Source organism: Homo sapiens, chromosome 10 (assembly GCF_000001405.40).
Source record: "Homo sapiens chromosome 10, GRCh38.p14 Primary Assembly".
Taxonomy (NCBI): domain Eukaryota; kingdom Metazoa; phylum Chordata; class Mammalia; order Primates; family Hominidae; genus Homo; species Homo sapiens.
The window spans coordinates 115,145,220-115,171,563 of record NC_000010.11 but is presented as its reverse complement, the minus strand read 5'-3'; the positions used below and the strand labels follow the sequence as shown (position 1 = coordinate 115,171,563).

General features: G+C 33.7%; 1 protein-coding gene across 11 annotated transcripts in view; it reads right to left on the bottom strand.

Moving 5' to 3' along the window:
- ATRNL1 (attractin like 1) overlaps window positions 1-26,344 on the bottom strand; it is an 855,635-nt gene that overhangs the window by 777,436 nt on the left and 51,855 nt on the right. For 8 of the 11 annotated variants that reach the window (NM_207303.4, XM_011539587.2, XM_011539588.3 and 5 more), the window contains exons 6-8: window positions 11,350-11,524; window positions 5,919-6,006; window positions 272-527 (exon numbers count right to left, since the gene is read on the bottom strand). In NM_207303.4, the coding sequence (NP_997186.1) occupies window positions 272-527; window positions 5,919-6,006; window positions 11,350-11,524 (519 nt within the window). Of the gene's footprint in view, window positions 1-194; window positions 528-5,918; window positions 6,007-11,349; window positions 11,525-26,344 lie in introns of those variants that run through there. The other 3 variants (NR_074088.3, NM_001276282.4, XM_047424989.1) reach the window with 2 other exon arrangements.

Here is a 26,344-nt window from a genome sequence, read left to right as displayed (position 1 = left end):
GGAATTTCACATATTTTTTTAAAAAATTCACAAATCTTAGAAAATGAGACTATTAAGTAATATTTCCCCTCATTTGGTTAAAAAGGTAAGCTTAAATATTAAAGGACAAAATCTAACATAATCAAAAAAGCTTATATTAAAAATTATTAATTATCAGCTTATAATTTCAATCTCAAATAACTCACCATTTTGACTAAATTCATATGAAGATTTTATTAAAGAGAAAAACATTCCCAATCAATAAAGAAATTACAATTTTTAAGTAACTCACAGATATGGTATTCCTGTATGCTGCTTGTATAACCATATATTGCAGAATATCCAAATATTATGATCATGACAACATCTCTACTATCCAACTCCATAATATGTGCTGAATGTCCCTCCACAGCATACTGCTGACCATGTCCAAGAACAGTAGGAGTTTTTGTACTCCATGACTGACTATGTATGTTAAAAACCCATAATTCATCTGTGACATTGCCATCATTTGTTTCAATTCTGCCTCCATACATAAAGATGTTTTCCTGTAAATTAAAATACATATATTAATAGATAAAATAATGTTATATCTTAACACATATTAATTAAAAATAAAGGTTAAATTTACATAAAATTTTAGTAATTGTTCACAACATGCATAAGGCATTGTTCTCATTTGTAAAAAGTAATGAGAACACATGAATAATGACAACTAATGCTTTTATATACAAAAAGGGGGGGAAACAGCAAAGCTTTCAAAAAGCTACTTTAAATATATTTTTTAACTATCACATTATGTAGTCAATTAAGTATACTTTTAATTGTCATACAGTAAGAGAACACTAAACTACTGCTTTAAGAATGGAAAATGCAATAAGCTAATAAAGAACTTACAATTTAAGGGTGAGGTAGTCCTATAACAAAGAATAATGTACTCCTCCCATATAACTGAAGATAACAAACTAAGTTGCTGATTAATATTACTCATAGTCTTCAATATTTGAATCATCTGAGTCCCTAGTAGCTTTGTGCTATTCTCAGTTATTTACTGTTTTCATCACGTGCTCTTCACCAAAAAGACATATCACATTTGTGCATCATGTAGAGTACACCTCTGTTACCATTTCTAATGGCTATAGACAGACACCACATGCCTTCAGTTCACCTTTGGTAAATCCTTGTAGAACTTTTAAATTATACAAATTATTTCAAATGCATATGATGGAAATAAATGGTACATAAATGATGTAAATTATCATTATTTCAACAAACTAGAAATAGAAAAAAATTTTTCCAACCTGACAAAAGATATTTAAGGAAACTCACAGCTAACATTATACCTAACAGTGAAAGACTAGATACATTTCCCTAAGGTCAGGAACAAGATAAGCATGCCTGCTTTTGCCACTTATATTCAACATTGTAGTGGATGTTCCAGCTAGAGCAAAAACTAAATAAAGACATCCAGATTGGAAAGAAGAAGTAAAATATTTCTATTTGCAGATGATGCAATCTGGTATATAGAAAGTCCTAAAAATTTTTTTAAAAAGCACTTAGAGCTAATAAATGAATCAGCAATATTACAGAACATAAGATCAATGTACAAAAAGTAAATTGTATTTCCATACACTTGTAATGAACACCCCAAAAATGAAATTGGGAAAATAATTACATTGACAAAAGCATCTAAAAGAATAAAATACTTATGAATAAATTTAATAAAGGAAGTCCAAACCTTATACTCTGAAAATTACAAAACATTGTTTAAATAAATTTTTAAAAGATATAAATAAATGAAAAGACATCCCATGTTTATGAGTCTGAAGACTTAACATTGTTAAGATAATACTCTCCAAATTGATTAAGAGGATAATACTCTCCAAATTGATCTACAGATTCAACATGATCCCTATCAAAATCTCAGCTGGCTTCTTTGTAGAAACTGACAAATTGATTCCAAAATTCATATGAAATTGCAAGGGATGCAGAACATCAGAACAATCTTGTAAAAGAACAAAACTGGAGTACTCCCACTTCTCAAAAACTTACTGCAAAGCAAAAGTAATCAAGATAGGTTGGGCATGGTGGCTCATGACTGTAATCCCAGCACTTTGAAAGTCCGAGGCGAGTGGATCACTTGAGGTCAGGAGTTCAAAACCAGCCTGGCCAACATGGTGAAACCCCATCTCTACTAAAACTATAAAAAAATTAGCTGGGCATGGTGGCAGGCGCCTGTAATCCCAGCTACTCAGGAGGCTGAGGCAGGACAATCGCTTGAACCCAGGAAGTGGAGGTTGCAGTGAGCCAAGATTACACTACTGCACTCCAGCCTGGGTGACAGAGCAAGACTCTGTCTCAAAAAAAAAAAAAAAAAAGTAATCAAAACAGAGTGATACTGGGATAAATCAATGGAATAGAACTGAGAGTCCAGAAATAAACCCACACATCTATGGCCAATTGATTTTTGACAAGAGTACCAAGACCATTCAAAGACAAAAGAAAATGTCTTGTGAACAAATGGTGCTAGGAGAACTGGATAGTCACATGCAAAAAAAAAAAAAAAAGAACTTGCACCCTTACTGCATACTATATACAAAACTTAACTCAAAATAGGTCAAAGAACTAAATGCAAGAATCAAAACTATAAAACTCTTAAAAGAAAAAAAAAATTGGGTTAAGTCTTTATGACCTGAGATTTGGCAATGAATTATTAAATATGACACCAAATCACAAGCAATAAAAGGAAAAAAAGTTAAATTGGACTTTATCAAGATAAAGTCCAATTTTTTGTGTTTAAAAAGATAACATCAAGAAAGTGAAAACAGCACACGAAATGGGTGAAAATATTTGCAAATTATTTACCTGATAATGGCTTGTATCTAGAACATATGAAGAATTCTTACAACTCAATAATAAAAGGACAACTTAATTTTAAAATAAGCAAAGGACTTGAATAGACATTTCTCCAAAGACAATATACAAATGGCCAAAAGCACACAAAAAGATGCTCAACATCATTAGTTAACAGGGAAATACAAATCAAAACCACAATGAGATAATACTTCAACCCACTAGGATGGCAATAATCAAAAAGGCAGATACTAATAAGTGTTGGCAAGGATGTATAGAAATAGAAACCCTCATACATGGCTGGTGGGAATGTAAAATGATGCAGCAACTTTGGAAAACATTCTGTCAGTTCTTCAAAAAGTGAATTTGACCCAGTAAGTCCACCCCTATGTATATACCCAAAAGAAATGAAAACATATGTCCAGACAAAATCTTAAACAGCAATGTTGTTAGTAGCATTATTCATAATAGCCAAAAGGTGGAAACAACTCAAATGTCCTCAACCGATGAATAAACAACACGGTATATTTCCATAAAATGTAATATTATTTAGCCATAAAAAGGAATGAAGAAGTACTGATACATTCTAAAACATGGATAAACCTTGAAATTATGCTAAGTGAAATATGGTAGTCATAACATACATAGTATATGACTTCATTTATATGAAATGTCCAGCATGGACCAATATATAGAGAAAGAAAGTAGCTTTGTGACTGCTTAAGGCTAGGGAAGACGAGGAAGTGTGGGGTGATACCGAAAGGATACAAAGTTTCTTTGTGAAGTAATGAAAGTATTCTAAAAGTGATTACACAACTCTGTAATCTTACATAAATCTGCAATAGATGGTTGCACAACTCTGAATATACTAAAAACCACTGAATTGTACACTTTAAATGAGTGAAATGTATGGTATATCAATTATATCTCAGTAAGGCTGTTACAAAAAGGGAAATAAAGAAAAAATAAAACAAGGCAAAAAATGTAGGTATATGTTTTCATACATAGAAATACTTTTATTTTACTTTTAAAACACACAAATGCATGGATAAACAGGTGGTAGTTTGTTCTTTATACTGCTCCCATGCTTTCCAATTTTTTTTAACAACAGCACAGAAAACATATAAATTCATATTTAGACAGCCTAGCCAAAGGCCACAAAATACATGAAATTTTGTTGATTCAAAATGAAAACCAAACAAGTGTCCTGTCATTTTAATCATGCTAAATTTATGAATCCCACAAATACATAAAAATAACTAATGTCAATACAATCCCTGTCAAAACCCCAACATTTTTGCAGAAATAGAAGACTTAATCCTAAAATTCATATAGACTTTCAAGGGACCCTGAATAGCCAAAACAATCTTGAGAAATAAAAACAAAGTAGGAAGTATCACACTTCTTAACTTCAAAACTTATTAAAAAGCTACAGTAATCTAAATAGTACGGTACTAGCATAAAGACAGACATATAGATCAATAGAATAAAATAGAGAGTCCAGAAAAAAAAAACCCTCATATACATGGTCAAAGGACTTTCAGCTAGGGTGCCAAGACCATTTAATGGGAAAAAGACAGTTTCTTTTTTAACAAACGATGTTGGGGAAACTGGCTATCCACGTGCAAAGGAATGAAAATGGACCCTTACATCAGACACAATTAACTCAAAATGCAACAAAAACTTAAACCTAAGAACTAAAACTTTAAAACTCTTATGAGAAAATATAGAGGAAAAGCTTCATGACATTGGATCTAGCAATGATTTCTTGCATATGACACAAAAGCATAAGTAACAAAAGAAAAAATAAATTAAAATTAAAATTAAATTAAACTAAAATTAAAAATTCTGTGCATCAAAGGACACTCTCAACAAAGTGAAAAGACAGCCCATAAAGGGGGAAAATATCTGGAAATCATATTCTGATAAGGTGTTAATACCATAATATATAAAGAGCTCCTCCAACTCAACAACCAAACAAAACAACCCAATTCAAAACTGGCTAAAGACCTGAATAGACATTTCTCCAAAGAGGATATACAAATAGCCAATAAGCACTTGAAAAGATATTTAACATCATTAATCATTAGAGAAATGCAAATCAAAATCACAGTGAGATACTCATTAGGTCAATTATCAAAAAAACAAAAACAGAAAATAACAAGTGTTGACAAGGCTGTGGACAAACTGGAACCCTTGTGCACTGCTGGTGGAAATGTAAAATGGTGCAGCCATAGTGGAAAACACTATGGCAGTGCTAAAAAAAAAAAAAATTAAACATAGAATTACCATACGATTTAGCAATTCCACTTCTGGGTATACACCAAAAAAAAATGAAAACAGAGACTCAGATAGTTGTACACACATGTTCATAGAAACATTATTCACAATGGCCAAAAGATGGAAGCTATCTAAGTGTCCATCAACAGATGGATGGATAAACAAAATGTGGTATATACATATAATGGAATATTTACTCAGCTTCAAAAGGAAGGACATTCTGACACATGATACAACATGGATGATCCTTGAAGATAGTGTGCTAAGGGACACAAATCAGTCATAAAAGGACAAATAATGTACAATCCCATTTACATGAGGTACCTAGAGCAGTTAAATTCACAGAGACAGAAAAGTAGATTGGTGGTTTCAAGAGGATAAGGGAAGAGGGGAATGAGAAGTTATTGCTTCAGTTTTGCCCGATGAAAAATGTTCTGAAGATAATGGTAGCCATGGTTACACAGCAATGTCAATGTACTTAATGCCACTGAACTCTATACTTAAAAATAGTTAAAATGGTAAATTTTATGTTACATGTATTTCGCCATAATTTTTTTAAGTGATTGACTAGGCATAAATAGACAAAAACTCAATCTTCATTTCTTTACATGTCATGTGGGGGATTGTTCTAAAATCTATTCTTTTACTAAAAGCATAAGAGTATGTGGTATCTCAAGTTATCATGATCCATATAATCTATTGTTCTCATTAAATATTTGAAATAAATCTGAGATTTAGTATTTTTTAGCCTGTGGTAAACTATCAAAAACAAAATCTGATTAAAATTTAAAAAGCAGGAGCCATACCTGATATAAAGCAAGAGAGTGTCCATATCTCTGGAGAGGTCCCCTTGATGGAGTTCCTACATTCCATATACTGCTTTCTAAATTGTAACTAAAAGCAAGAAAAGAAAATAACTTCATAAGCTAAGATTCATTTTTGTTTTTTTAATTTTCACGTGCTTTTTATTCACTTGTGTCCAAGTATTCATTAAATTCAAAAAGAGTTACAACTAATAAACTCATAATTTCATGTGCCATATTAGAAATTTCTAATAAAGACTCATTCAAGATATACCTACACTAAATTAGGATTCAGTCTCCTGAATGTATAATATACATTAACTTGATTAGGATATTTATTACTGGAATTAATTGTCCAATTGCCTTTAATAATTTCCATCAATTGATTAAGCTAAACAATAGTGATTTGACTGTATTTTTTAATTTTTTTTTAAGCCAGGTTTCCTTCTTGGAAACAGATGAAAATTCTCTCCATTTTGTTTTAGGTATTTATTTTTATTCCTTTTTTTTAGTTGGCCTGATACTTATAAGTTTTTTATTGATATTTAAGTTGTACATATATGGTATACACATGGTATTTTGATATATGTATAGAATGTGTAATGATCAAATCAAGGTAATTAGAATATCTATTACCTCAAACACTTATCTCTTCTTTGTGTTGGGAGCATAACATTTCTTCTCTTCTAGCTATTTTGAAATATACAATAAATTGTTAACTATAATTTCCCTACTTTACTATCAAATACTACAACTTATTCCTTCTATCTAATTGCTTTTTGGCACTCATTAACCAACTTCTCTTTGTCCCCTTCTCCCTGCTTCTCTTCTCATGCTGTGGTAGCCACCATTCTACTCTCCACCTATATGAAATCAACTTTTATAGCTCTGACATTTGAGTGAAGACATGCAATATTTGTCTCTCTGTGCCTGGTTTATTTCACTTATAATGACTTCCTGTTCCATCCATATTGCTGCAAATGACATGATTTCATTTTAGGGGGACTAAACAATACTCCATTGTGTATATATACCACATTTTCTTTATCAATTTATCAGTTGATGGACACATGTTGAGTCCATATTATGGCTATTGTAAATAGTGCTGCAATAAATCTGAGAGTGCAGATATCGCTTTGATATACTGATTTACTTTCTTTTGGCTACATATCTAGCAGTGGGTTTGCTGGATCATATAGTAATTCTATTTTCAGTTTGAGGAACCTCCGCACTGTTTACCATAATGACTGTGCTACTTTACATACCCACACACTTATCTTAGCATTATATAAATTAACCAATAAGCATTTATTTCCTATGCACAAATATAGCTTGTTTACTGATAATTTTTTAAGACTGTATAAAATGAATTTGGCAGTAGAGAAGCTTCTATAAAAATAAGTCACTGTTGGATTATGTAACATGAAAAGAAAATTCGTATTTTTTTCTACTGGTGTAATACATATGAAAACTGAAGTCCCAAATTATAAATCCCAAATGCTTATACTCTATGCTCAAATTTCCTCCATTTGCTAAAATATACAAAAGGAAGCATCCAGCCAAGAAACAGGAGCCTGTTTTAAGAAGCTTGCTATCAATTGTTATCTTCCCAACTTCTCTTTCTTCCTCCAATGAATTAGGAAAGGAAAGGAAGTGCCCAAGTGCCCCTTCACAAGAAAGGTAAGGGTTACCAAATTTGTTTGCAGCATTGTTTAACTTATTTCCTACCTTGGAATTGTAAGATAAATGTGTATGATACAAACGAGGAAACATAATCAGAACATAACTTCCACAGATTCACACCACTAGTCCACCCATCTACCAGTATCTGCAGCCAACACACTGCTTTCCAAGTTATCATAAATTAGGGCTGTACAAACTATTTCTGTAAAGGGCCAGACAGTAAATATTTTAGGCTTTGTGGGCCACAATGGTCTCACATATTCTTCATTTTTTTACAGCCCATTAAAAGTACAAAATCCAGGCCAGGCACGGTAGCTCACACCTGAAATCCCAGCACTTTGAGAAGCCGAGGTGGGAGGATCACTTGAGCACTGGAGTTAAGAGACTAGCCAGGGCAATATAGGGAGACCCCGCCTCTACAAAAAAATTTAAAAATTAGCCAGGCATAGTGTTGCATGCCTATAATCCCAGCTACTCAGGAGGCTGAGGTGGAAGGATCGCCTGGGCCCAGAAGCTCAAGGCTGCAGTGAGCCATGATCACGCCACTGCACTCCAGCCTGGGTGACAGATAAAAAGAAATAAAAGAAAAAAGCAAATAAAATAAAACAAGAAAATAAAAGAAAAAATAAAAGAAATAAAAGAAAAAATAAAATAATCAAATAAAAGAAAAAAAGCAAAAACTAAAAACGCTAAGAAAAAATTCTTAGTTTCCAGGCCCTGAGCCCCTATTCTGCAGTTTGATAAGCCGAAGAATAACAAGTGATTCTTCTTCCTTGCACACGAGATCTCTTTCCTACATCACCATATTTTGTCTTACTAGATCTTTGCCATCAGCACACAAACATGGTGTTATAAACCATTAATAATAAAAGAAAAACCCCTTGACCACACTGTCCCTTAAGCTACTCCCCCATTTCTTTATTACCCCCATCCCCACCCCACTTTCCATTCTCTCTTAAACTAACTCTAGACACGCTTTTAACCCCTCCCCTCCACTAAAACTGCTTTTGTTATGGTCAATTTCCTCATGCTAAATCCATGACCAGTTTTCAGTCTTCATTTTCCTTGACCTGGATAATCGTCAGCATTTGACATTATTAATTACTCCTTAATCCTCACATAATGCCTTTTCTTGCCTTTGAAGATACTGTACTCCAGGTTTTCCTATCTCACCAGTCATTCTTTTTCAGTCTCCTTTGATGGCTTCCCCTGTTCCCCACAACCTCTTAGTGATATGGTGCCTCAGGCTCAGTTCCCGGTCCTTTTCTCTATCTAGAATGCATTCCCTTGATAATTTCATCTTAACTCAAATCCCGTTTCTAATCTTCCTCCTAATCCCCAGTATATCATCAATAAACCGCCATGGTAACACTTTTAAAATATGGATCAACACATGCTCAAAACCCTCCCATGACTCCCAAAAGATCTACAACATCCTACATGATCTGTCTCTCTCCTCTGTTATCACTCTAATTTAATGTATCCCTCTCATATATTCCATGCAAATTGCATGGGCCTGGTTGTTGCTCCTCAAACACCTCAAGGAGTTCCTATCTTAAGTCTTTGATCTGGCTCTTTTCTGCGCCTACAAATAACTGCAATCCTCTGATCTCCTTCAAGTTTTTGCTCAGTTCTCACCTTTGTTATGAAGCCTACCTTAACTATTACATTTATAATTGCAACTCCCTCTTCTTTGGCACTCCTGATTTACCTACTCCTACTATCTATCTATATCTATCCATCCATCCATCCCATCTGTCTCTATATGTATATATGTTCATGTCTATAATTTACTTTGGTAATAGTGTTTTTTTTTTGTCATTGCCAGCCTTTCCTCCCTAACTTTACAAAGACACGGGCATTTGTTATATCCAATGATATATCCCAAGAAACAAGCACGTAGTGTTTTCAAAAGTTTGCTATCCTCATGAATACATGTTAATTTTCATTAATGTTAATGTATATATATTCTGTAAAAGTCTTTCTAATTTAATAGACACTAACACAGAGCTTTTATATTTAGTGAATAATTTGTCTTAAAATGTAACATTTCCACCCCAATTAAATTCCACTATAGAAGATGATTAAATCAAGTTATGACTTATCCTATCACTTCTGAAAGCTGTTATCCTTACCTACAATTGAACTACATTCAGAATGATGAAAAGTATTCTCTAACCTGTGAAAACAGCAACACAATTATTCTACTCTAATCCCTCATTTGTTTATATAAACACTGTAACCAAAATACTCAGATTTCAGACAAAAAAAAGTTGGCTTAAATAGTTTATCTGGTTCCAATGGAAAATATGCAAATTTAAAAGAATAGCAAATAATATTCATCATTTAATTTTTGATATGCTACTCATCTTGCAAAGAACATGAACTTAAAATTTACAAACTTCCTTGTTGACAATGTTGCTCTTTGTCTTACAAACTCGACTTTGGAAATATCACAATTTAATTCAAAGTTCGACTCTACTTTCATAGACTTCTCATTTTCTTTAAACATAGTTAATTTCCTTTTAATTTTCACATTTAAATATCATTATTTCTCCAGGTTTTTATCTTAACAATTCATTTTAATCCCACCAACTCTCTTTCAATTCTTCCTTCTGTATTTTATTCTTCATGTTAAAAAATTCTAATTTGCCACTTAAATACTTACATAAAACTCCCTCCTTCTCTCCAGAATTTATTCGATTTTCTAATTTAATTTCAGTCGCATTCAATCATAGTTTTAAAGCAATCTCCTCTTACAGAATTTCTGAAATCTTCCTAATTATGAGGGTTAATATATTCAGTGGTTAGGGTTGGCAGATAAAATACAAGATACCCAGTTAAATTTGAATTCAGATAAACAACAAACAATTTTTTGTTAAAGAATGACCCATGCAAAATTTGTAAAAAATATATATATATACAGCAAAAGGGCCTTCTTATACTAAAAATGTACTTGTTTTTTATCTGAAATTCAAGTTTAACTGGGTATCCTGTATATTTATCTGCTAAATCTGGCAATTCTATTGTGTATACACCATTATGCCATACTGTCCAGGGCAAGTTCTGATTGTTTGATGCCCAAGCTGTACCAGTTATTACATAATATGAACACTACCCCTGGAAGCAACATTAAAAATCAAATGATTCTCCCTATTTCCTTTTGTATTGTTACTAAACAGTTCATAAAATACAATCATTAGCTGAAAAAGAAATCAGATAAAGCTGCCATCCATATGATTCCCCTTATCCAATCATGCAGAGAACAATCTCTATTGAGCCAACAGTAAATCAATCATCTCTCTCATAATACTAGAACTGTTCTCCCAATGAAAGTTTGTAAAGCACATACAAAGTAAAGTTCAGGTACACTAAAATTTACAGAACAAATTGAGAGGATTTTTATATATGAGATTATACTTCATTAAAAAAAAAAAGTGGCATGAATTCATTTGATTCATTTTATCCATATAGGCAAAGGCCTGCCTGTATTTGAAGTTAATATTTTCTTACTCAGAATTTATTAAAAGTACTCTAGAGAAGTAATAACATTTCTACATGAAGCATACTTCTATGTGCAATGACAGCTATGGACATACTGAGTTCATGTATTCACAAATCAGTCTCACTAGCAAATAGACACTACCACAAAAATAACCACTTTTACTCTCGGACAACAATTAAAAAAAAAAGACATTTTGGATAAAAATCCAGCTTAAAAAACAGCAAGAATCTGAAAATAAATACTTACTTTAGGACCATTTGAAAAGAACTGTAGTTAAAAGTATATCCACCAATCACCCACATAAATTTCCCGTGTAAAACTGCTTTATGTGAAGCCCGACCTACAGAAGGACTGAAGGGTTTAACGTTTGGCAGAATCCAGTAAGACTCAGTAGAGGGAACATTCAAAGAACAATCAGGACCTATTAAAAAAAAAATGAAACAACACACTAGATTAAACAAAGCCCTCAGATTATAGAAATACAACATATGGATTAAGAGAATTTAAGAATTCAATGTTTATCATATTAACAAATATATACATAAATTATCTGAAATATAACTTACAAGAATAATACTCACAGAAAATGTAATGCTTAGAGGTGAAAAAAGTCATATACTCACAATCGGACTTGGATGTTCAAATAAATTTCACAATTTTAAAGAATTATTTAAATAATATAAAATGTCAGATTTATTTTAGTATGCTACAAGAGTATTAAAATAGAAAACAATGTACTCAAATATCAGTTCTGTCAGGGAAGTATGTTTACCTCTTTCATCATCAAGCCTCCATCTACACAAATGGATATAATAATCTACCACCAAGGGTTATAATAAATATTTATTTTTTTAAAATAGTGGAAGTAAAAGCATTTAAAAATTAAAGTTTAAAAATTATTAACTATTAAACAAACATAAAAAAGATTACATTTTTTTTAGCATTATTAAGGACAACCAAAGTTTGCTTCAGTGGAGTCCTCAAAAAGAAAAAAAAATTATGCATCATAAAATAAAAATTATTAAATTAGTGCAGAATAATTTCAAATACTATAAAGTTGAAAACACAGCCTTTTCCTTTCCATATTCATGATGTTACTCATAAGTCTTGGTTTCCCCATCAGTGTTTCTCAAACATAATAGAAGGAATTCTCCTAAAGGGAATATATTTTCATCAAACTTTAGGGCTCACAAAGTATTTTAATTTTAATGAAACTAAAAAATTCTCAAATACTAGACATAAACTCCTATGTTTAAATTTCTTTTATAAGCATAAAACAAACATACATTTATAAATTATATATAAGTAAATTTATAAAACTAATATTTACTGAATATGATAATATTGTTTTGTTTAAAATAATGGGTCCCAAGTTAAAAATGATATTAATTCTCATAATGCCTTTTTTACATAATTTTAGCACACCTACATTATTTTGACAACATAATTCTCCCACCATTTTTCTTCAACCTACTTTTTACAAATCTTTTAAATTCATATACTATGGCATATAATCATTTACCCTTCACTTGTCACAAAAGTATTAGTACACTTTAGTTGTATTGTTTTTAGCCTACAGTAATTAAAGGGATACTACTTAATCCCAACTTTAAATTGTCAACACAACTGCTGGCATTACAATACAGTGGCATTACTCAATTATGAGATCAGGCAGTTAATCTTCAATTTGCTTATATCAAAAAGTTTTAGATTGTCATTTAATAACAAAATTTTAAAACTCCCAAGCAGAGTCTGATTTAAGAAATATTGACCCATACAGTTTTCATGTCTTCATGTGTTCACTCACCCAGGTATTAATTGATTCATCTTCAAGATTTTTTTCAATGCTTACATTGTATGGCTCTGTATTTTTCAGGTACAAACTAGGAAGTATCTCAGATTATCTCTTTGATAATGATAATATTTTAAATCAGCTATAGAAAACTATTATTTCTGAGTGAGAAAAGACTGTGAACTATTCCTTAGTAATCAGAGATATTAAAGGAACCTCTTTTTTAATTTAATTACAGTAACTTAGAAATCATTTAATAGTTTTATTAAAACACAGCCATGTTCATTCAGTTAAGTATTGTCTATGGCTGCTTTAGCAGAGCTGAGTGGTTGCAACAGAGCCATGTAACTTGCAAAGAAAAAGTATTTACTACCTGGCCTTTTACAGAAAAGTTTGCCAACCTCTAATTTAACTGAAAAGACATGAAATCATATAGAAATTATATATAATGCATCTATTGGTATAAATGTTGTATCTATTTTCATAAAAGGAAATATAGATTTATTTTAACATGTAAGTCAGTTATACCAAAGAAAATAGAGTAAAATGTTAATAGGTGAATCTGGGAAACGGACATTCAGATAGTCTTTGTACTATTCTTATTCTTGTATAATAACTTTTCTAAAACTTTAAAATTATTTCTAAATAAAACATTAAAAACAGGCCACCACCCAAAGGCACAGAGTTGAAAGCAGCCAAGTAATATGTGGGTATTACTTGGAAAAGAGTTTGATAGAGAACACTGGCATGAAAAAAATCTTGAAAATTGGGTACATTTTTAAATCACCAATATATTTATCAAATCTGCATTAAAGCAAAATACTGCAGAACAAGTTTCCAGTGGACTGAATAATAGCCCTCAAAGGTATCCAGGTCTTAACCACCAGAAGCTTTGGATTTTACCTTATATGGCAAAAGGAACTTTACAGATGTATTAAATTAAGGATTTTGAAATTTGGGAGAGATTATCGTGAATTATCTAAATTGGCTCTAAATATAATTACAGGTGTCCTTATAAGAGAGGGAGATTTGACTGCAGAAGGAAGCAATGTGACTATCAAAGCAAGATGCTGCAGTCCCGGATCTGAAGATAGAGGAACAGGCAAGGAGGCAAAGAATGCAGGGAATGCAGTTCCAGGATGTTATAGGTCTGTAGCCCAATCTATATGTTGTCTTTATTTTACTCTAAATTAATCCATTTATAAATAGAATGACAAGATTTATAAATATAATTCAAAGATTTAAGAAAAAAATTAGATGTCTTAATTTGAAGCTTTCTGTATTCTATAACCAAAATGACTTAAAATGTATACTAATTAACTGAATATTAATTTAAAACACAAACAACGACAAAAAGACTTCCCCACCCATTAAACAGCTAATACTAATATCTACACTTAAGGACATCTAAGCAAGAGTCCACTTTTTAAAATTTTTTTTCTGATACTGAACAATTATACACATTTATGGTCTACATGTAATATTTTGATACATGTATACAATGTGTAATGACCAAAACAAGGTAATTAGGATATCTGTTGCCTCAAACACATTTGTGTTGTAAACATTCCAAATATTCTAGCTATGAAATATATAATAAATTATTAACTATAGTCACCCTACTATGTTATTGTACTAGAACATATTACCTCTGTCTGACTATATTTTTGTATACATTATCCAACCTCTCGTCATCCCTCTCTCCCCGAAACCTTTCCCAGCCTCTGGTAACCATCATTCTACTCTACCTCCATGACATCAACTTTTTTAGCCCCCACTTATGAATAAGAACATACTATATGTGCAAGACTCCTTTTTTATAAAAATATATCCATAAAAATTATTCTACCACTTCATACTTTAGTATCTCATGCAATATATCCCCATAACTCTCTCTGCATTACTTTTCTCAATCAGTATGACAATTTCTCAAGGTAGTATATCTCAGCTGTTTTTTAAAGGGTGTAATAAACAAATTCACCTTATAGTGCAATTTCAAAAAGAATCTTCTCCGCAGGTTATGCACAGTTTTAAAAAACCAAAGAGTATAAATGAATTTCTAACACTGTAACTTTAAGCATTAGTGTCGGGCTGCTGAGAGATTTTTTAAGGGAAAAAGCTACTACATAATCATACAGAGTAGAATTGTGCTCTGATATATCCCAAATGTATATGTCCAGCCCCACAATCTCTCATGAATTCAAACTACTACTTTACATTTCCACTTGGATATCTATAGAGGGTCATCTCAAACTTCACATGTATAAAACTAAAACCTTGATCGTTTCCTCCCAAACCAATTCCTTCAGCAGTGTTTGCCAGCTGAGTAAACGGCACTTCCATTCATCCAGTTGCTCAGGGCAAAAACTTTGGTGCCATTCTTAAGTTGCCTCTTTCTCCAGCACCCCATACAACCAACCCACAAACAAACTGAATATTAATTAGGTATGCAGGGATTACAGTCTTTCCACATGTTAAAGTATAAAAGTTTCAATGACTGTTGGTAAGTAGATGTACCTCAGCATCGCACGTTATCAGTCTTGCTGTCCCTGTTCCCCTGACTCCTCACTTGAGATAATTCAAACCTCCCTACAATAGATAACTAGAGGGGTAATGCCTGGCACAACACGGCACATCAAGATCTTACTCTAGTCCAATGGCCACCATCCATTTTGATTGGTGTCTGGTCTGTATCTTACTAATTATAAGAATTTTTAAATTCTAGCACCCCACGATACCCCAACCACTGATCCCTGTCTCTACAACTACCATTTCAGTCCAAGCCACCACCCACTCTCAACTGGACTACTGCAATAGTCTAAAACCTGGTCTTCTTATTTCCATACTTATCCCTTTCCTATAACATTCAACTATCCAGAATGCAACCAGAATGATTAAAAACATAATTCTACTCCTATCATTCCCCTACTAATAATCCTTCAGTGACTTCCCATCATAATAAAATACAATGAAAAGTACTTAACATAGCCAACAATTACTAATGATTAGCCTCAGTATACACTTATGGAATCAATCAATCAATGGATGGATGAATGAAAAGCACCTTAAGCTGTAAAGGAGTAACAGCATGAGCTATGCAGTCAAATCTAGCTTTCCTACTTACTAGCTGTGAAACCTTGGGCAAACTTACCTAATTTCTCTAAGCTTCAGTTTAATTGTGGAGCTTCCACCTAGAATATAAGATTTTTCTAAATATAAAATGAGATTCTAAGTAAAATGCTTAATATTTAATACTATAATAAATGCTTCATAATAGTAACTTTGTTATTATTAAGACAACCTTCTCATTTTATACACAAAAAAATTAAGTATAATTAAGTCCCCATATATCAATAGAAACCTTGATTGTAAACAAATTAAACCTTCCACTTAAAAAACACAGACTGACTGAATGGATTTTTTAAAAAGAAAAAAAAAGAAAAACATGATCCAACTGCAGGAAACTCATACCACCTGTAAAGACATATAGAGGCTGAAAATAAAGGGATAGAAAAAAAATCCATTAAAACAGAAACTAGAAAAGAGCAAGAGTAACTCTAATTAGATAAAACAGATGTTAAGTCAAAAACAATAAAGAGAGACAAAGAAGGTCATTTTATAATGATAGAGGGATCAATTCAGCAAAAGGATATAACAATTCTAAACAAATATGTAGCCATCACTGGAGCACCTAGACATATAAAGCAAACATTATTACATTTAAAGGAAGAAATTAATACATTTAAAGGGAGAAATTGGCCCTGGGCCAATCTTTGGGCCGTAGGGGTGACAGTGGCAGTCTAAGAGTGCCTGTCTTGGGCTCCCTGGCACCGTTTCTTGGCACCAGTGTTATTTGATCCAATAAAATAACAGTTGGGGACTTCAACACCCTACTCTCAGCATTAGACAGATCATCCAGACAGAAAAAGAAACATTGGATTTAAACTGCACATTAGACCAAATGGACCTAGCAGACATTTACAGAACATTTCAATCAACAGCTACAAAATACACATCTTCTCATCAGCACATAAAATGTTCTCCAGGATAGACTATATGTTAGGACACAAAAGAAAACTCAAGGAAAACAAAAAAGGGCAGGGGTTGCAATTCTTTTTCTCTGATAAAACAGACTTTAAACCAACAAAGATCAAAAGAGACAAAGAAGCTACCTTTCTTCTTCGAAGAATGGTATCCTTTACCATTACATAATGGTAAAGGGATCAATTCAACAAGAAGAGCTAACTATCCTAAATTTATATGCACCCAATACAGGAACACCCAGATTCATAAAGCATGTCCTTAGAGACTTACAAAGAGACTTAGACTCCCACACAATAATAATGGGAGACTTTAACACCCCACTGTCAATATTAGACAGATCAATGAGACAGAAGGTTAACAACGATATCCAGGAATTGAACTCAGCTCTGCACCAAGCGGACCTAATAGACATCTACAGAACTCTCCACCCCAATTCGACAGAAGATACATTCTTCTCAGCACCACATCGCACTTATTCCAAAATTGACCGCATAGTTGGAAGTAAAGCACTCCTCAGCAAATGTGAAAGAACAGAAGTTATAACAAGCTGTCTCTCAGACCACAGTGCAATCAAACTAGAACTCAGGATTAAGAAACTCACTCAAAACTGCTCAACTACATGGAAACTGAACAACTTGCTCCTGAATGACTACTGGGTACATAACGAAATGAAGGCAGAAATAAAGATGTTCTTGAAACCAATGAGAACAAAGACACACAATCTCTGGGACACATTCAAAGCATTGTGTAGAGGGAAATTTATAGCACTAAATGCCCACAACAGAAAGCAGAAAAGATCTAAAATTGACACCCTAACATCACAATTAAAAGAACTAGAGAAGCAAGAGCAAACACATTCAAAAGCTAGCAGAAGACAAGAAATAACTAAGATCAGAGCAGAACTGAAGGAGATAGAGACACAAAAAACCCTTCAAAAAAATCAATGAATCCAGGAGCAGGAGCTGGATTTTTGAAAAAATCAACAAAATTGATAGACCGCTAGCAAGTCTAATGAAGAAGAAAAGAGAGAAGAATCAAATAGATGCAATAAAAAATGATAAAGGGGATATCACCACCGATCCCAAAGAAATACAAACTACCATCAGAAAATACTATAAACATCTCTACGCAAATAAACTAGAAAATCTAGAAGAAATGGATAAATTCCTGGACACATACACCCTCCCAAGACTAAACCAGGAAGAAGTTGAATCCCTGAATAGACCAGGCTCTGAAATTGAGGCAATAATTAATAGCTTACCAACCAAAAAATGTCCAGGACCAGACACATTCACAGCCGAATTCTACCAGAGGTATAAGGAGGAGCTGGTACCATTCCTTCTGAAACTATTCCAACCAATAGAAAAAGAGGGAATCCTCCCTAACTCATTTTATGAGGCCAGCATCATCCTGATACCAAAGCCTGGCAGAGACACAACAAAAAAAGAGAATTTTAGACCAATATCTCTGATGAATATCAATGCAAAAATCCTCAATAAAATCCTGGCAAACCGAATCCAGCAACACATCAAAAAGCTTATCCACCATGATCAAGTGGGCTTCATCCCTGAGATGCAAGGCTAGTTCAACATATGCAAATCAATAAGCGTAATCCAGCATATAAACAGAACCAAAGACAAAAACCACATGATTATCTCAATAGATGCAGAAAAGGCCTTTGACAAAATTCAACAGCCCTTCATGCTAAAAAAAATCTCAATAAATTCGGTATTGATGGGATGTATCTCAAAATAATAAGAGGTATTTATGACAAACCCACAGCCAATATGATATTGAATGGGCAAAAACTGGAAGCATTCCCTTTGAAAACGGGCACAAGACAGGGATGCCCTCTCTCACCACTCTTATTCAACATAGTGTTGGAAGTTCTGGCCAGGGCAATCAGGCAGGAGAAAGAAATAGAGGGTATTCAATTAGGAAAAGAGGAAGTCAAATTGTCCCTGTTTGCAGATGACATGATTGTATATTTAGAAAACCCCATCATCTCAGCCCAAAATCTCCTTAAGCTGATAAGCAACTTCAGCAAAGTCTCAGGATACAAAATCATGTGCAAAAATCACAAGCATTCTTATACACCAATAATAGACAAACACAGAGCCAAATCATGAGTGAACTCCCATTCACAACTGCTTCAAAGGGAATAAAATACCTAGGAATCCAACTTACAAGGGATGTGAAGGACCTCTTCAAGGAGAACTACAAACCACTGCTCAATGAAATAAAAGAGGACACAAACAAATGGAAGAACATTCCATGCTCGTGGACAGGGAGAATCAACATCGTGAAAATGGCCATACTGCCAAAGGTAATTTATAGATTCAATGCCATCCCCATCAAGCTACCAATGACTTTCTTCACAGAATTGGAAAAAAACTACTTTAAAGTTCATATGGAACCAAAAAAGAGCCCACATTGCCAAGACAATCCTAAGCCAAAAGAACAAAGCTGGAGGCATCATGCTACCTGACTTCCAACTATACTACAAGGCTACAGTAACCAAAACAGCATGGTACAGGTACCAAAACAGAGATATAGATCAATGGAACAGAGCAGAGCCCTCAGAAATAATATCACACATCTACAGCCATCTGATCTTTGACAAACCTGACAAAAACAATTAATGGGGAAAGGATTCCCTATTTAATAAATGGTTCTGGGAAAACTGGCTAGCCATATGTAGAAGGCTGAAACTGGATCCCTTCCTTACACCTTATACAAAAATTAATTCAAGATGAATTAAAGACTTAAATGTTGGACCTAAAACTATAAAAACCCTAGAAGAAAACCTAGGCAATACCATTCAGGACACAGGCATGGGCAAGGACTTCATGTCTAAAACACCAAAAGCAATGGCAACAAAAGCCAAAATTGACAAATGGGATCTAACTAAACAGCTTCTGCACAGCAAAAGAAACTACCATCAAAGTGAACACGCAACCTACAGAATGGGAGAAAGTTTTTGCAATGTACTCATCTGGCAAAGGGCTAATATCCAGAATCTACAAAGAACTCCAACAAATTTACAAGAAAAAAACAACCCCATCAAAAAGTGGGCGAAGGATATGAACAGACACTTCTCAAAAGAAGACATTTAGGCAGTCAACAGACACATGAAAAAATGCTCATCATCACTGGCCATCAGAGAAATGCAAATCAAAACCACAATGAGATACCATCTCACACCAGTTAGAATGGCGATCATTAAAAAGTCAGGAAACAACAGGTGCTGGAGAGAATGTGGAGAAATAGGAATGCTTTTACACTGTTGGTGGGACTGTAAACTAGTTCAACCATTGTGGAAGACAGTGTGGCGATCCCTCAAGGATCTAGAACTAGAAATACCATTTGACCCAGCCATTCCATTACTGGGTATATACCCAAAGGATTATAAATCATGCTGCTATAAAGACACATGCACACGTATGTTTATTGCGGCACTATTCACAATAGCAAAGACTTGGGACCAACCCAAATGTCCATCAATGATAGACTGGATTAAGAAAATGTGGCACATATACACCATAGCATACTATGCAGCAATAAAAAATGATGAGTTCATGTCCTTTGTAGGGACATGGATGAAGCTGGAAACCATCATTCTCAGCAAACTATCGCAAGGACAGAAAACCAAACACTGCGTGTTCTCACTCATAGGTGGGAATTGAACAATGAGAACACTTGGACACAGGAAGGGAAACATCACACCAAGGCCTGTCGTGGGGTGGGGGGAGCAGGGAGGGATAGCATTAGGAGATATACCTAATGTAAATGATGAGTTAATGGGTGCAGCACACCAACATGGCACATGTATACATATATAACAAACCTGCAAGTTGTACACATGTGTCCTAGAACTTAAAGTATAATAATAAAAAAACTTCAAAAAAAATTTAAAAATCAAAATCATGCCTTGTGAAACCACAATGAAATAAAACTAGAAATCAATGAAAAGAGGAACTTTGGAAACTGTACAAATACATGCAAATTTAAAAACATGTTCCTAAATGATCAAAGGATTAAAGAATAAATTAAAGAGAAAATAAAAAAACTTTTTGAAACAAATGAAAATCAAAACATAACATACTAAAAGCTATTGGATACAGCAAAAGCAATGCTAAGAAGGAAGTTTACAGCAATAAGTACCCACGTCAAAAAAGCAGAAAGGTTTAAAATGAACTAATGATGCACCTCAAAGAATTAGAAAAGTAAGAATAAACCAAACTCAAAATTACTAGAAGAAGATAAATAATAAAGATAAAAGCAGAACTAAATGAAATAGAGGTGGAAAAAAAAAATACAAAGGATCAACATGAAAAGATGTGGTCTACCAATAAACCACTTGCTAGATTAAGCAACAACAACAAAAAAAAATTAGAAAACCCAAATCAACAAAATCAGAAATGTAAAAGGACACGTTACAACTGATATCACAGAAATACAAAAGATTATCAAAGATTATTATAAATAACTATACACTAACAAACTGGAAAACATAGAGAAAATCCACAAATTCCTAGACACATACATCCTACTAAGATTGAATCAAGAAAAAATATTTAGACAACCTAAACAGACCATTAAAAACTGAAAAGATCAAAGTAGTAATAAAAAGTCTCCCAACAAAGGAAAGTCCAGGACAGGACGGCTTCACGGCCAAAGTCCACCAAACTTTCAAAGAAGAATTAATGCCAATTCTCCTCAAGCTAGTCCAAAAAAAAAAAAAAAAAGGAAAAGGAGACAATTGTCCCTAATTCATTTTACAAGGCCAGGATTAACCTAACACCAAACCCAAATATTAAAGTAACAAAAAAAGGAAAACTACAGGCCAACATCCCTGATGAATACAGATGCAAAGATACTCAAAAAATACCAAATCCAGCAGCATATTAAAAAAATAATAAACCATGATCAAGTGAGATTTATCCCAGGGATGCAAGGATGGCTCAATATATGCAAATCAATAAATGTGATCTATCATATCAGCAACATGAAGAACAAAAACCATATTATCATCTCAAGAGATGCAGAAAAAGCATTTGATAAAGTTCAACATCCCTTCACGATAAAAACTCTCAACAAACTAAGCATGAAAGGAACATACCAAGATATAAAAAAGGACATATACGACAAACCCACAGTTAATATCATACTGTTACAGGAGTTAAAAAGAAATTATTCAGGCAGTTAGTAAGGGTAAAAGAGTTCTCAGTGGAATTTCCTTTTAAAAAAAAACAGCCCCAAAATCATTTCTTTTCTAACAAAAAGCAGCCTGAAAAATCAAGCTGCAAGCATAGATAAGCAAGCTGGAATGCTGGAAGCTGTGCCAACAGAAAAGGGATACCTGGAAGCCAGGTATATTCAACATGGAGATTTTCCCTTCCCTTTTGTTGCCATGTGTGCAGGCGTCTACACTGGCCAGGAAAAGACCCCATCTGCGTAATAAAAGATTAGGGTGGGATGGCCAGCCTCTTAGTGCACTATGCAAATGGTACACCTGGTCCAACAAATCCTCTGGGCCCTATGTAAATCAGACACCGCCTCCAAAAGCCCCTCTATAAAACCAACCACAGCCAGGCACAGTGGCTGACACCTCTAATCCCAGCACTTTGGGAGCCCAAGGCAGGTGGATCACCTGAGGTCAGGAGGTGAAACATGGCGAAACCTCATCTCTACTAAAAATACAAAAATTACCTGGGTGTGGTGGCGCACACCTGTAGTCCCAGCTACTCAGGAGGCTGAGACAGGAGAATCACTTGAACCTGGGAGGAGGATGTTGCAGTGAGCCAAGATCGCATCACTGCATTCCAGCCTGGGCGACAGAGTCAGATTCTTAGAAAGAAAAAAAAAAAAAAAAAAAAACGCATCTGGCCTCAAAGAGGGAGATCCATTCGGAACACCACTCTCTCTGCACAGGGGAGCTTTTCTCTTCTTTACTTTGCCTATTAAACTTTCTGCTCTTAAACCCACTCATTGTGTGTCCACGTCTTCGATTTCCTTAGTGCGAGACAACAAACCTTGGCTATTTCCCCAAATGATGCCACTTCAATACCAAATGGAGAAAAACCAAAAGCTTTTTCTCTAAGAACTGGAGGAAGACAAAGATGTCCACTTTCACCACCTAATCAATATACTACTTCAAGTCCTAGCCAGAGAAATTAGGCAAGAGAAAGAAAGAAAATGCATCCAAACTGGAAAGAGGAAGTCAAATTGCCACTCTTTGCTGATGATATAATCTTATATCTAGAAAACCTATAGCCTCCACCAAAAAACTCTTAAATGTAATAAATGAATTCAGTAAAGTTGCAGGTTACAAAACCAATATACAAAAATCTGCAGCATTTCTATACACAAATAATGAACTAGCTGAGACAGAAATCAAGAAGGCAATACAATAGCTACAAAAAAAATAAAATACCTAGAAATATATTTAACCAAGCATGTGGACAATCTCTATAGGAAAACTACAAAACACAGAAGAAAGAAATTGAAGAGGACACAAACAAATGGAAAGACATCCCATGTACATGGATTGGGAGAATTAATATTGTTAAAATGACCATACTACCCAAAGCAATCTACAGAGTCAATGCAAACTACCATAGTCATTTTTCACAAAATTAGAAAAAACAATTCTAAAATTCATATGGAACCAAAAAAGAGGCCAATAGCCAAAGAAATCCTAAGCAAAAAGAATAAGGCTGAAGGTATCACACCACTGGACTTCAAAATATATTACAAGGCTATAGTAACCAAAACAGCATGGTACTGGTACAAAACCAGACATATAGATCAATGAAACATAATAGTGAAAGAATAAACCTACATATTTATACTCACTGATTTCAAAGACACCAAGAACATACATTGGAGAAAGCACAGTCTCTTCAATAAATTGTGCTGGGAATACTGGATATTCACATGTGGAAGAATGAAACTACACCCCTTATCTCTCACCATATACAAAAATAAACTCAAAATGGATTAAAGACTTAAACCCTAAGACCCAAAACTATCAAACTACTAGAAGAAAACATAGGCAAAATGCTTTGAGACATTGACCTAGGCAAAGATTTTTTGGCTAAGACCTCAAAAGCACAGGCAACAAAAATAAAAATAGACAAATGAGACTATATTCAACTAAAAAGCTTCTGCACAGCAAAGGAAACAATCCACAAAGTGAAAAGACAACCTGCAGGATGGGAGAAAATATTTGAAAACTATGTTACTGACAGGGACCTAAAATCCAGGATATACAAGGAACTCAAACAACTGAACAGTAAACAAATAATCCTATTTAAAAGTGAGCAAAGATCATGAAGTCATTTCTCAAAAGAAGACTTACAAATGGCCAACAGGTACATGAAAAATAGTTTAACATCACCAATCACCAGGGAATTTGCCAATCAAAAACCACAATGAGATATCATCTTAGTTAAAATGGTTATTATTAAAAAGACTAAAAATAACAGATGCTGGCAAGGATACACAGAAAAGGGAACTCTTAATACAGTGTTGGTAGGGATGTAAATTAGTACAGCCACTATGGTAAACAGTATGGAAACTCCTCAAAAAACTTAAAATAGAACTATCATATGATCCAGTAATCCCACTACTGGGTATTTATCCAAAGGAGACAAAATCACTGTAACAGAGAGATACCTGCACCTGCATATTTACTGCAGCACTATTTACAGTAGCAAAGATACGGAATCAACCTAAGTGTCCCTCAACAGACAAAAGGATAATGAAAATATAGTGTATATACATAATGGAACGCTAGTCAGCCACAAAAAAAAAAAAAGAATGAAATCATGTCATTTGTAGCAACATGGATGGAACTGGAGGTCATTATGTTAAATGAAATAAGCTAGCCACAAAAAGACAAATATCCTAAGTTCTCACTCACACGTGGGAGTTAAAAGAGTTGATCTCATGGAGGTATAGAATAGAATGATGGATACCAGAGGCTGGACAGGGTGTGGGTAGTGGGGGAGGACAGACATTGGCTAATGGATACAAACATATAGTTAGAAGATACAAATTATAATATTCAATGGCAGTGTAGGGTAACTATAGTTGGCAACAACATATTGTATATTTCTAAGTAGTTAGAAAAGAGCACTTGAAATGCTCCCAACACAGAAATGATAAATACTCAAAGTGAAGAATACCCCAAATACCCTGACTTCATCATTACACATTCTATGCGGATAACAAATACTCACATATACCCCATAAATATGTAAATATTATGTATCAATAAAAAATAAGTAAAAGGGAAAGTAAGTAAAAAATAATCTTACTCCAGGATTTTAGACTTTTTGATGTAATTTTGGCTCATACCCTTAATTTATATTTCATCTATACTACTACGAAAAAAGCATTCATTTTAATGTTGAAGTGGTACATGTTTAAAGAGCCAACTATATTTATTTTCTTTTTGCAGTTTTCAACTGAACACATTAAATAAATATTGCTAACTCTGAATTCTATCAAATGCAGGTTGCTGATATAATTTTGGGTATTTTAAAGAAGTCTAATAACCAGAAAAAAAAAACACACCCTAACAGTATCTCTAAGGTGGTACTTCAGTTTGTTTTCTTACATGTGAGTCACAGAAATTAATTTGGCTAGCTTAAGGGAAAATGGGACTGTATTGAAAAAATATGTAGAAATTCAGAGAGTTTTTCAAGGAGAAAAATCAAGCTTAGAATAGACAGGTACCTGGATTTTTTCATCCCAGCAAGACTATGCTACGTTAGCAAAAGGCAATTTCCCAGAAGAAACTGGATTGTTAATAAGAAGTGGAAGATATGGTGGGAATAAAGATTTTAAGAGCAAGAGGGGTAAATGTAGCTTGTTGTAATCATTCCAGATATAGTCTTATGATTTAGTATGTACTGAATCTGAAGTTCTCCAATAAAAGTCAAAACAAGATTTCAATGCAAGTGTTCTCTCTTCTAACACCATTTTAAAAATTTGATTTTGTTACAGTATCCAAAGTATTCTACACATGTTCTAGACCCATAAAATCAATCTCCAAAGGCCAGGTATTAACTTTTGTCTATTTTAAATATCCACAACTATTCTGACAATCTGTTAATTTTATAAGACAATGAATTGTGTGAGTGGTAATCATTATACTAGATCTGTTCCAAGAATACTTGGCTCTTACAGTTTCGGTCAATGATGCTATTGTGGCATGGAAACAAATTGCCCTCTTGTTTAAAGATCAATGGTTTCCAATTTACTCTTTTTGGGCTGCAGAAGGCTTAAAACAAAGTTTTACAAGGAATCTCAATATGTAAAATATTGCAAAGTGATGACACTATGGTTGAGGCAGAAAAGGAAGAGTCACTTATCTTCCATCCTACCCCAACCCAT